This window comes from Homo sapiens, chromosome 11 (genome assembly GCF_000001405.40).
Source record: "Homo sapiens chromosome 11, GRCh38.p14 Primary Assembly".
NCBI classification, from domain to species: domain Eukaryota; kingdom Metazoa; phylum Chordata; class Mammalia; order Primates; family Hominidae; genus Homo; species Homo sapiens.
The window spans coordinates 43,683,978-43,696,276 of record NC_000011.10 but is presented as its reverse complement, the minus strand read 5'-3'; the positions used below and the strand labels follow the sequence as shown (position 1 = coordinate 43,696,276).

The 12,299-nt window shown below is 39.2% G+C and overlaps 1 protein-coding gene across 7 annotated transcripts in view, besides 1 other annotated feature; it reads right to left on the bottom strand.

The window, feature by feature from the left end:
• Window positions 1-12,299, bottom strand: part of HSD17B12 (hydroxysteroid 17-beta dehydrogenase 12) — a 299,895-nt gene that overhangs the window by 160,339 nt on the left and 127,257 nt on the right. The window lies entirely within an intron of this gene.
• Window positions 1,451-1,500: an enhancer, noted in NCBI's record as "active region_4645". NCBI's record gives its function as "activates an Ori minimal core promoter by ATAC-STARR-seq in GM12878 lymphoblastoid cells {active_cell/tissue: GM12878}" and the evidence as "EXISTENCE:reporter gene assay evidence [ECO:0000049][PMID:35858748]".

Sequence of the window (12,299 nt, the reverse complement as noted above, 5' to 3'; positions counted from 1 at the left end):
ATGGCTTTCTTGCTCATCACTATATTCTCATACCCAGCACAGGGCCTAGCATATAATCACCACACAATGAATATTTATCTGCTCCATAAAAAAGAACAAGATCATGTCCTTTGCAGGAACATGGATGGAACTAGAGGCCATTATCTTTAACAAACTAATACAGGAACAGAAAACCAAATACCACATGTTCTCACTTATAAGTGGGAACTATAATAGATGATGAGAACATGGACACATAGAGGGAAACAACATACACATGGGCCTTTCGGAGGGTGGAAGGTGGGAGGAGGGAGAGGATCAGGAAAAATAATGGGTACTAGGCTTAATACCTCGGTGATGAAATAATATGTAAAACAAAATTCCATGACACAAATTTACCTATGTAACAAACGTTCACTTGCACCCCTGAACTTAAAATAAAAGTTAGAAATATATGTATTTATTTATTTATCTGCTGAAGGAATGACCCAATCTGACTGTTTAATTACTACAAAGGTCATCCAGATGGCCAACTAAAATCTAAATTTCTTCTGGTAGAACCTAAGCCCATTTTCCTCCTTCCTCATCATTTAAAAGGCTTAAAAAGAAGAAGAAGAAGAAGAAGACTAATTAGAACATCCTCTTCAGTCTATTGCCTCTTTAAGAATCATCATTAAAAGATATCATTTATATTAATTTCATAATAAAGATTTTTTTTTGAGACGAAGTTTTGCTCTTGTTGCCCAGGCGAGAGTGCAATGGTGCAATCTCAATTCATTGCAACCTCTGCCTCCCAGGTTCAAGTGATTCTCCTGCCTCAGCCTCCCAAGTAGCTGGGATTACAGGCGTGCACCACCACGCCCAGCTAATTTTGTATTTTTAGTAGAGACCGGTTTTCACCGTGTTGGTCAGGCTGGTCTCAAACTCCTGACCTCAAGTGATCCACCTGCCTCGGCCTCCGAAAATGCTGGGATTACATGTACGAGCCACCACGCCCGGCCAATAAAGATAATTTTTAAAAACCCATCTGGGCCGGACACGGTGGCTCACTATTATAAACCAAGCCCTGGTATTCAGAAGATATTTGGTTAAAAAGCCTGCATGGATAATCCACTGTTTTTTCTAGGGCTAGTCCAGTGTTTCCCAAAATGCATGATCTTTTGAGACAGAGTCTCACTCTGTCTCCCAGGCTCAAGCAATTCTCCTGCCTCGGCCTCCCAAATGGCTGGGATTACAGACATATGCCACCACTTGGGGCTAATTTTTGTATTTTCAGTAGAGATGGGGTTTCACCATCTCTACTAGACCAGGCCAGGCTGGTCTAGAGCTTCTTGACCTCAAGTGATCTGCCCACCTCAGCCACCCAAAGTGCTAGGGTTACAGGTGTCAGCCACCGTGCCTGGCCCCCAAAATGCATGACCTTAAGAATCATCTTATTTGTTAAAAATACATGGTCCCATGCTCTTTTCTTACAGATTTTTTTTCTGTAGGTCTGTAGTAAAGCCCTAGAATGTAACGTTAATGAGCACACTGGACTGATTCATATGATCCAGATGAATTTGAATACTGCCATGATATAAACAGACCTTTAACTTTTATGTTTCTTTTTTGAGACAGGGTCATGCTCTGTTACCCAGGCTGAAGTGCAGTGGTGCAATCATGGCTCACTGCACCCTCAATCTCCGGGGCTCAAACAATCCTCCCACCTCAGCCATCTGAGTAACTGGGACTACAGGCATGTACCACCATGCCTGGCTCATTTTTTTTCTTTTTTCTTTTTTTTTGCCCTGGCTGATCTGGAACTCCTGGGCTCAAGCAATCCTCCCACCTCAGCTTCCCAAAGTACTGGGATTACAGGCATGAGCCACCACACCTGGCCAACCTTTCACTTTGAAGCAACATTTGAGAAATTCTCCAACTTGTAAGCTCATGTGCAAGTATTCCAAATGGCCTTAAAATCACCCTTATTTAGCAGCTTTGGCAGTAAATTAGAAAGAACATGGAGCCTAGAGTCAGAAAACCTAGATTCAATTTCTTCTGCTACTTACTATCTGTGTAACCCTTATACCAGTCACTGCATCTCCATCTGGTCTTGGTATATTACATGGAAATAACAAAACCAACCCTAACCTGCCTCATAGGGTTGTTATGGAAATAATTCAAGAATACTTGAAAAGGGCTCTGTAAATTAAAATGTCACCATTACAGTAACATTTTATTAAATCAGCCTGCTCTAATTCAGAATGTGTGAATGTTGTTGTCTAGCCCAATGTGGCTTTTGTTTTCACGTTATCTGTAAGGAGATCATCGCCTCCTTACACATGACAGACAGTGATAGGCATTGGAACACACAGATAAGCAGTAGCTTCCTGTTCCACGGCAAAATTATAAGATTGGATGTGCAAGATCAGGGGAACCTGTCTACTGTATGAGTACTGCTTCTACAGGACTAGAGTCTCAGCTATCAGTAAAGCAAAGCTGACAATATTCCTACTGGAAGTTAGCTTGGTTATGAGCAGTTAATGCCAGTCATTACAGTAAAATCAATCTGAAGAAGTTTTCTCCAGACTAGGAATATTAAAGGATTTTTTTACACTGGTATTTAAATTTCTAAAAAATACTATATTCTTTTTTGGCCACCTTGAGGAACATATACTAAATGCAGTATTTCCTTGGGAATTAAGTGTCATCAACATAATCAGTAGTTTGGGATATAAGCACAGCTGAGACTCTGGGTAGGAGATATTGGATCAACTAACTTAGCTTGCACCACTATATACAATGAACAAGTGCCTCCTGGTCTTAACATCTATGTAGGGTGTACCAAGAGCATGGCATAATGGCATCCTTAAGGGCTAAAAAGGTACATATCATTTCTTTAAGAGTTTAGGCTCTTGTATAGAGAGGACTGTTTCTTGCCTCATACCAGTTTCAGGAATGTGTGATGATGTCCAGTTCTGCCAGCATCCTCATCACTATCACTAAATCACCTCTGCTTTTCCTCCTCACCACTTTCCTCTAATTCAACCCAGACAAATCTCTTCCACTTTGCTGTCAGAGCCTGCTGCTCATCGCTCCTATCGTTGCTTTTAATCAATCTACCACAGATGCATCCACCACTTCTGCCCTTTGCCACTGAACTGTCTGGCCTGGCCATTCTCTAACTGGATGCATAATCTTGGGCAAGTCATTACCTTTTCCAGCATGTATTTCCCTAATAATTGAAGTGAAGAGGTTGCTAACATCCCTTCCAGTTCTGCTATTCTATCATGATTCTCTTCTGCCTCCTGATTTTTTTCATTTTCTCAAGTTTTTTCACAAAATGGCTGACTAAACTTGTGTAAAAATTGTCAACCAACTGTAGTATTCATTTATTTCCATGAAGCAAATAAACTATATACTCAATGCTCTATGGTTAACTTTATAGCAGTTTCTGGTTCTATATGCTTACTATTCAATGTATTTACTATCAAAGAGATTTTCCAGGGAATTTGGTCCAGAGTCTTCAACAATTCAAAAAGAATGGTAGTTCCAGAAGGTATGGACTTATTTTATCACAATTTCAAAATTAAAAACTACATTTTGGTCAACACACTCTAGAATTTAATTTTTCACGAATTAGTCTTACCAATAAGCCTTACCAATTAGCAAGGTGTTACTAAAACTTTAATTGGAGAAATCTTTCTTACTAAAGGAAAATCTACTCACAACAATTTTGTAAAGATTTGGGAAAGAATAATAAATATACTACCAAATTTATATTTAATGTTTATTAAATATGGCAGAGTGTTCAGTTCCCTGTAACTCCCTGTAATTTCCTGATACCACAGATGAAGAAAGGTTAGCCTGTTACCAATACTATTCAAGGACATCTTTTTGATCTCAGTGCACTATACATTTTCAAAACTAGTATGACAGCCCTGCTATCATAACTCTGTAACCAGCTTTGTCTAACCAGCCTTGGTTTATTTTCAATCTAGCATTTTTAGATGTATAGCACTTGAGGTTTCAGAAGAAGGAGAAAAAACAGTTCACAAATTATTTTGCAAAGTAGAACAAAAAATAGAAAACTAAAGCAAAACATCTGACCCCCCAATTGAAATACACCAGAACCTCAAGGAAAAAAGTATTCACTCATGAAATATTATAGTGCAAATACACTTTTGAGCAAATGAAGTGATACATGCACACATATACATACACACGACTAATAAGGTAAACTGTGAAAAAGCCCACCAGAATGAATACAAGAAATACTATTAGAGTTCCAAAAGTGCACAGTCACTATCATCTAGAAAGCTCTCAATGCAAAAAGTCACAATTGACACTCTGGAACATGAGTAGAATTTCACAAACAGGAAGAGTGAGGAAGAGTGTGGAATATGAGAAAGAGCACCTCAGGCAGAGTGAGGCCAACATGCAACAACCACCAAAACCTACTAAATGCCTCTGCACAAGCAAGGCCCTGGAGGCTGCAAGAAGCAGGAAAGCACAGGCATGTCTGGGACACAGGACGTCATCCAGGATGCATCCAAGGAAGGGTGCAAAGGAGGTGACATCAGAAACAGACACAAGGCCAAGATCAAAAGGGCCAAGGAGCCTGATGTTTGCATAGACATTATGAAACTTCTGACCTGTATGTGTAAGGTATAAGGAAGGGGTAACTTGATTGGAGGCTTCACTGGTAGATTAAACTTGCGCCAGAGTGAGTGTAAGATTTGGTAGGGAGGCAATATATTAGGAGAACATAGAGGAAGGTATGGATGCGAGAGAGACTGTAGTGGTAGATTCAGCAAGATTTGGCAATTTCCTGTCTAGATGTGCAAAGGAAAGCATGATTCTAAGACTTAGAGATGAGGGAGCAAACTGGCTACTTGATGCATCTAGCCACTGACATAATTTATTTGGTCCACAGAGTAAACCTGAGAAATTTGCATCAACTCTAAACAATTAAGAAACTTTCTATATGAAAATCTAGATTTGGGCTGCTGGTGAAAATCTGAGAGGACTGTGCCAGTGTTGCTGAAGGCTGCTACTAGAGACCATGCCTGGTTACCTGGACAGTGTCTTGACATGCATTACACCTGGTCCACTTCACTCATTTTACTTGACCTGCCTGAGGCATCAGAATTTGCCATCTCTGATTTGGAGCTTCATGACTAGCAAGACGATGACATAATTAGCAAAAATAAGGAAGTCCAGAACACGCTGGGGAGAGTAGAAAAGCTAAATTTTAGACATACTAAAATTGACGACTTTGATAATCATCTAGAAGGGAATATGCAGTGTCTTTAGAAATTTGAGGGAAAGTCGGGAAAAGATGCATGTGGATAAAATCAGAATCATCCCATCAGATAATATCTGCTATCATTTCTATAGTATTTAACATTGAAATGTCAGGTAGTGTTCTCAGTAGTCTAAGTATTCCACACACATTAAATCAGTTAGCCCCATTTAATCAGTATTTCCAATCTATAATTATCCCAATTTTACAGATGAGGAAACTGAGGCACACAGAAGTTAAGGTGATAACACTGTAACTAGCTGAGCTGGGATTCAAAAGTAGGTAATCTAGTTCCAGAGTCTGTATTAGGAGAACTTCGTCCTGAGGTTACTCTATATTTTTAGATTAAATAATTTCATTCTTAGAGGTTGGGAAACCGCTAATATTTGTTAGATTTGTAGCTGATAAGAGAATGTAAAAAGAGAAGATAATTCACAAAAATCATTATCCCTTAATATTAAAAAGACTGGAAGCCAGACACAGCTGGGACACATGCCTATAGTCCCAGCAACTCAGGAGGCTAAGGCAGGAGGATTGCTTGAGCCCAGGAGTTTGAGGCCAGCCTGGGCAATATAGTGAGACCCTGTCTCAGAAAAAAAAAAAAAAAAATATATATATATATATATATATATATATATATATATATATATATGTATGAATACCTTACTTAACAGATATTTCCATTAATTCAACAAAGGTACATTGGCACTTACTGTGTACAGACATTGTTCTAGGTGCTTGAGATTAAAAGACAAAGATCCTTGCCTTACAGTGCTCACATTCTAACAGAAACATCATAAATGAGCAAAGTATACAGTAGGGGAGATGGTGACAAGTGCTATGACAAAAAGGAAAAGTGGGGCAGGGTAATGGATAGGAGTGGGAGTGAGGGAGAAACGACTGTGAGTTTATAGGTAGGAGGGGCGGTTCCATTGAAAAGGTGATATTTCTGCAAAGACTTGAAGGAGAGTAAGAAGGGTCAGTCACATGGATATCTGGGGGAAGAGCATTCCGTGAAGAGGAAAAAGCAAAGGCCCCAAAGCAACAATGCCAAGGTTGTTCAAGGAACAGCAAGAGGTGTATGTGGGTGGAACGGAGTAAGAGTAGTGGAGATGAGGTCAGAGGTCAATGGAAGCAGGAAGCAGGTGGTTTAAAGCCTTGTTCAGGCCGGGTGCGGTGGCTCACACCTGTAATCCCAGCACTTTGGGAGGCTGAGGCAGGTGGATCACCTGAGGTCAGGAGTTCAAAACCAGCCTGGTCAGTATGGTGAAACCCCGTCTCTAATAAAAATACAAAAAAATTATCAGGGTGTGGTGGCACTCGCCTGTAGTCCCAGCTACTTGGGGGGCTGAGGCAGGAGAATCACTTGAACCTGAGAGGCAGAGGCTGCAGTGAGCTGAGATCACACCACAGCCCTCCAGCCTGGGTGACAGAGCAGGACCCAGCTTCAAAAAATAAAAATAAACATAAATATAAAATAGAATAAAATAAAATAAAGCCTTATTCAAAGCCACGAGACAAATACTGAGTTTTAATCTGAGTGGGTGAGAAACCACTAGAGAGATCTAGGCAGAGCATCACATAATCTGACCAAAGCTTGTCAAGGATCACTGTGGCTGCTGTGTGAGAATCAACTGCAGGAGAGCCAAGGTGGAAGCAGAGAGATAAGAAACTTGTTATTAGAGAGACAAGAGTCTGTGGTGGCTTAGAACTCACTAGATTCTGGATATTTTGAAGTTCAGAGTCAACGGGATTTCCTAAAAGGCTGCATGTGGTGAAGACTTAAAGATAACTCTAAGGTTTTTACAAATGTAATTGAAAAATTATAAATAACCAAATTTTTTGAAGTCCTTCCTATCTTAGATTTACTCACTAAGGGGATCTATATATAAAGGAACTGCTTAGTAAATCTTTTACCCAAGCAAGGAATTCTTCTGCAGTAGCACTAGTCATCTCCTAATTGGTCTGTTCATAATTTTAGATTTTCAAGTGTATACCTGCTGAGTGAACTACAATTATTTCTTAGTTTCAACAATCCCTTTTCATCCAATAAGAGTAATCTATACAAACAAATGATGCTCTTAAATATATGTTACTTAATATTCATAAAAATACAGTAAGGACTATACTAGAACCTCATTTACATCTCATTTAATTGTCATAATAATCCCGAAAAGTATCATCCCCCTAAAAAATGAAAGAAGTTATGCTCAGAGGTTAACTATTTTTGCCTAAGGTCAACCAGCTTAGTAACAGCACAGCTTGCCCACTGACTCCAAAGCCAATCTGTTTGTTAGCTATACTGTTTCCCAATGTAATACTCTTGAGAGGCACCAATTGTTCAAGTTCTTAAACTGTCTAGCCCTTCCTCTCTTCCACAATGACTAGGTTATTTAAATGGAAATAACTTCACTAAATGGTGGCAAAGATAACTTTCCAGAAACTGGATAGTTTTCCTGGAATTGCCAGTTAGAGATAGGGCAAACGCATTGTTTTGTAGACAAAAATCGACAAATAAAACAAAGCGTTCTTTCTGATACAGATTTGTGGCAAGCTTCTCAACTACCACACCATGGTATTATGGAGTTACCATGACAACGCAATAACCTAGTTTCAGTGTTTCAATAACCCCATCACTCAGTCCCTGTAAGAGAAGAACTTCCCATACCACAGTGATCAGACTTTTCCCCCAGACAGAAATGGTCTCTGAGAGATGATAACTAAGAAGTGCACAAAAGTAGCATCCCTTACAAAAAGCATAAATTCCCATTTTATTGTATTCATTAAATTTTTTTTTTTTTTGAGACAGAGTGTTGCTCAGTTGCCCACTCTGGAGCGCAGTGGTGCAATCTCGGCTCACTGCAACCTCCGCCTCCTGGGTTCAAGCTATTCTGGTGCCTCAGCCTCCCGAGTAGCGGGGACTACAGGTGCATACCACCACACTTGGCTAATTTTTGTATTTTTAGTAGAGATGTGGTTTTGCCATGTTGGCCAGGCTGGTCTGAAACTCCTGGCCTCAAGTGATCCGCCCACTTCAGCCTCCCAAAGTGTTGGAATTACAGGCATGAGCCACTGCGCCCAGCCAATTGACATTTTAAAAAAGGCAATTTTAACTGAGTTTATCTGAATACCTAGACTGATCTATCTCTGTGTAACAATGTTTTCCCAAAGAGGGCCGGCAATAACTCTAGGGAAGTCATAGAAACAAGAAATTCGGCTTACAGTTGCAAACACAACAGTGTTACCCTTCTGCTTAAAATCACCTCAACTGCTTTCCACTGCTCCAGGATAAAGGCTGAAGGCCCTGCTCATTGCCCTTCTTGCCTCTCCAGTTCCATGGCACTCATATCTGAGCTTTCCTGGCTCGTCACTCAGCCCTCGTTTCATGAGGGCCCTGCCCTTTCCTGCCCTAGGAATTTAGCAACTGCTTTTCCTTCTGCCAAGAACATTCTTCCCTCTGCCCTTCCTGTCACTCCAGCTTGCTCACTTACACTCAACCGCCAGATCTCAGCTGAGGCACTGCTTCCCCAGCACAGCTCTAGAACTTTCCCTCACAAATTCTCATAGGACCAAATACTTCCTGTTCTCACCACTTACCATAGCACAGTTTATTCATTTTGTTACTGTTTGTCATCCCATTGGACTATTATAAGGTCTATAGTTAGCACTCAACAGTATTTGTGGTGGATAAATGGGCAAATGAATAGTGTTATGTCATACTCTCCACCAAGCCCAGTGAGGGCTTTGCTCACCCTGCCTCCCTAACCTTAATCTCAATCCATCCCAGATGACATGCATATGAATTGCTACATGTTGTTTTGCTAAGAGTGACAAGAAGGGAAATGAAATAAAGGATGCACTGTTTTTAAAATATACATTTAACTTATCCTTATCTACAAATAGCTTTTAATGGCACTGAAACTGATCTATTCAAATCCGTTTACCCATGCATTCTAAACTTATAAATTTTGTTATGTAAATCTGACAAATTTTTCTGAAACTGAAAGAAATAAATTATCCTCAATTCAACCAACCAAAACCAACAACAACAAAAAATTAGTTTTAAAGCTCAACACTCTCAGTTGCAAGTAGCAATGGTAATCTCAGTTATCTGACAATGTAGTCACCCAGATATCAACTCTTTCTTCTAAACCCTACCCTGGCAATTAGCTCAGGTAATCAGAGCACAGTGCTACTAAGGCTAATAATACTATAATAATAACAAGTTATCAAGCACTTATGTACTATCTGTTTTACAGAGAATAAGTATTCTCATTTACCCTTCACAATAAGCCTATGAAATCTGTAGGGAAGCTAGAATTCAAGTCTAGGTTTGGGTCTCCAAGTTCAAGTTTGACCTCTAAATAGGAAAGTTAGTGTTGCACAGAAAGAAAGAACAGGAAAAAAAAAAAAAAAAACAGGGTGGGAGCAATGGGGGCTAGTCGGGAGGGGAGTGAGGGAAAAAGATATTCAGGGAATGTAAACTCAGGATCTGTAATCCCAGGAAACCTCCCTCTTTGGTTTTTCCTCCAAATCAAATAAAGGTATGCTTTTAGGTCCAATCTTCAGTTGCATCTGTTTCCTCTTATGTAGACTCCAGCACTAGTACTTGAAAGTTGCCCTGCCAACTTTAATCTGCAGAACTTTTTCCATTTAGGCACACGTACTCCCTTTCGGGAGCCAAAGGGCAGAATAAACAAATATTCAAAAACATTTATGACTAAGTTTGTTTCTCTGCCTTCCCTCACCTTCCCTGCCTCTGCGAAAAACATAACCCATGTAATGACTACTGCGATCAACATTGGCTCGCCAGTAAGAACAGGTATCTATACCCCAATACTAGAATGTCAACAGCAAGCATATGACATTTACCAAGCTGGACCTCCAGGGAGTCACTAAATCCATTCAAGAATGCCAGAGCGATAAACAGAAAATAGCATTCGAAGTCAAATCCCACCATTCTGATGACTGTCAAACCCTTTGCTTTGTTAAGCACCTTAGTAACTTTCCAGTATTTTCTCATACGACAAGATTTATGGTTGCAAATCTGAAGAAAATCCCAAGCTACTTGATCCCAAAATGTGCCAACTATTCTGCAATCCTTCCAGAAAAATCATGAATGTGCAAATTTGAAACTGTGCCTTTTTTTGGTCTGAGATTGTTCTTAAAAATAAAACAAAAATTTAAATTTTAAAAAGTGAAAGTGTGTCTTCAATCAAAAAGCTTTTAATAAAGTTTGTAGGTATAAAGAAATCTACTCCCGAGTACTCATCCAGTCTGTAGGCCCATCACCAACATACAGTGTACGAATGTTGCAGAACGGATGACTTGGTTTCAAATCCTGACTCTGCAATTTAATAGCTATGAAACCATAGATAATGAAAGCAATTTACTAAACCCTCTGATTCTTCCTCTGTCCACTGGGGACAACGGAGCACAGCTCAAAGAGGTTAAAAATAATCTCAAGTTCCTGGCACATTTCAAGCACCCATTCAATAAATGATAGTTATTAATATTTCTTCTGGGTTGTCAATTTAAATAACTAACATTTCATATATAATTCTTCAAATCATGTGATATCACAAACTCTTGTTAAAGAAAGACACCTACTATTAATAAGCTCTAGTTACACAAGTATTCTTCAGTCATTTGAGGTTAACCCTGTGCAGTTAACCAATGTGAAAACAGAAATTGTGATTATACCTGTGATTTTGAGAATCCTTTGATGCATGTTTTCATGAATGGTTTTTCCAGAGGAGAACCACACCATTCCATGCCATTTTTAAGTCCTCACTATCTACTGAATTAGGAGAACCTTGGAATACTGCAAAGCCAAACGAGTTCCATCAGCAACCAGAAGCTACATCTTAGAGATTTGCTAATGTAAACATCCAGAGGGTAGAACAAAGGGTTGAAGACTTTTTTTGTGAAATCTGACCTCACTCCACAAAACAGAATATTATTCAGCAATACAAACAAAATGAAGTACAGATTTCATAGATGAAACTTGAAAACATTATGCAAAAATCAAAGAGCCACTAACAAAAAAGAACACCTATTGTATGATTCCATTTATATGAAATATCCAGAACAGGCAAACCTACGTAGACAGAAAGTAGATTGGTAGTTGACTAGGGCTGGAGCGGGTGGGGGTCAGGGAGTGAAGGGCCTAATGGGTACAGCATTTCTTTTAAGGAAGATGAAAATGTTCTGAAATTAGATTTGATGATGGTTGCACAACCCTGTGAACATAAGTAAAAACCTTGAATTGTACACTTTAAATGGGCAAATTGTATGGTATATTAATTATATCCCACTAAAGTTGTTTTAAAAAATCTAACTCACTAACTGATTAGTGGATCATTTATTCTTCACTGCGTGTAACAATATCCTCTTCATTAAAAACTAAAAATAAGTGCTCAGAGTGCTGTCTTATGTTTAAAGTTATAAAATATCTTGACATTGGAAGTCTACTTACCTTGCCTTTGCATCTATCATCTCCACTTTATTTCAATAGCAATCATTTTAGATGAACTCCAGCAATGGAAACTACTCAAATACTTGCAAAATGTATTTATGGTCAAACCACATTCTACAGATCACATTTTTTATTGCTCTATAGCAGTGACTGTTCTTTCCTTTATTTAATACAAACTGACCACCTTTGTTATCAATCTTTTTTTGATTACTTGCTACACTGACCTTCAAACACCTGAAACTCCACATTCACAGGATCTCCTTTTGTTCTCCTAAGAAATACAGGAAGTATTCGGGTAACAATGACAAAGAAGTCTTACTTACTAAATTGGCTAAACCCACCTTCTAGGGGTATAGGGAACACAGGGGATTCACCTGAGTGGGAATGTTACTGGTGAGAACTAGGAGAAAGAGATGGCCCAGCTCTTGACCAGGAGATGGAGATAAATTAGAGTGTGGGCCAGCCAAGTAATGGACAGTCTTGAAAGCCTAACAACACTAAGGAAACTGTTATCTAGAATATTTTACTGATTGTGAAGCATACCTGTATTTCAAGTTT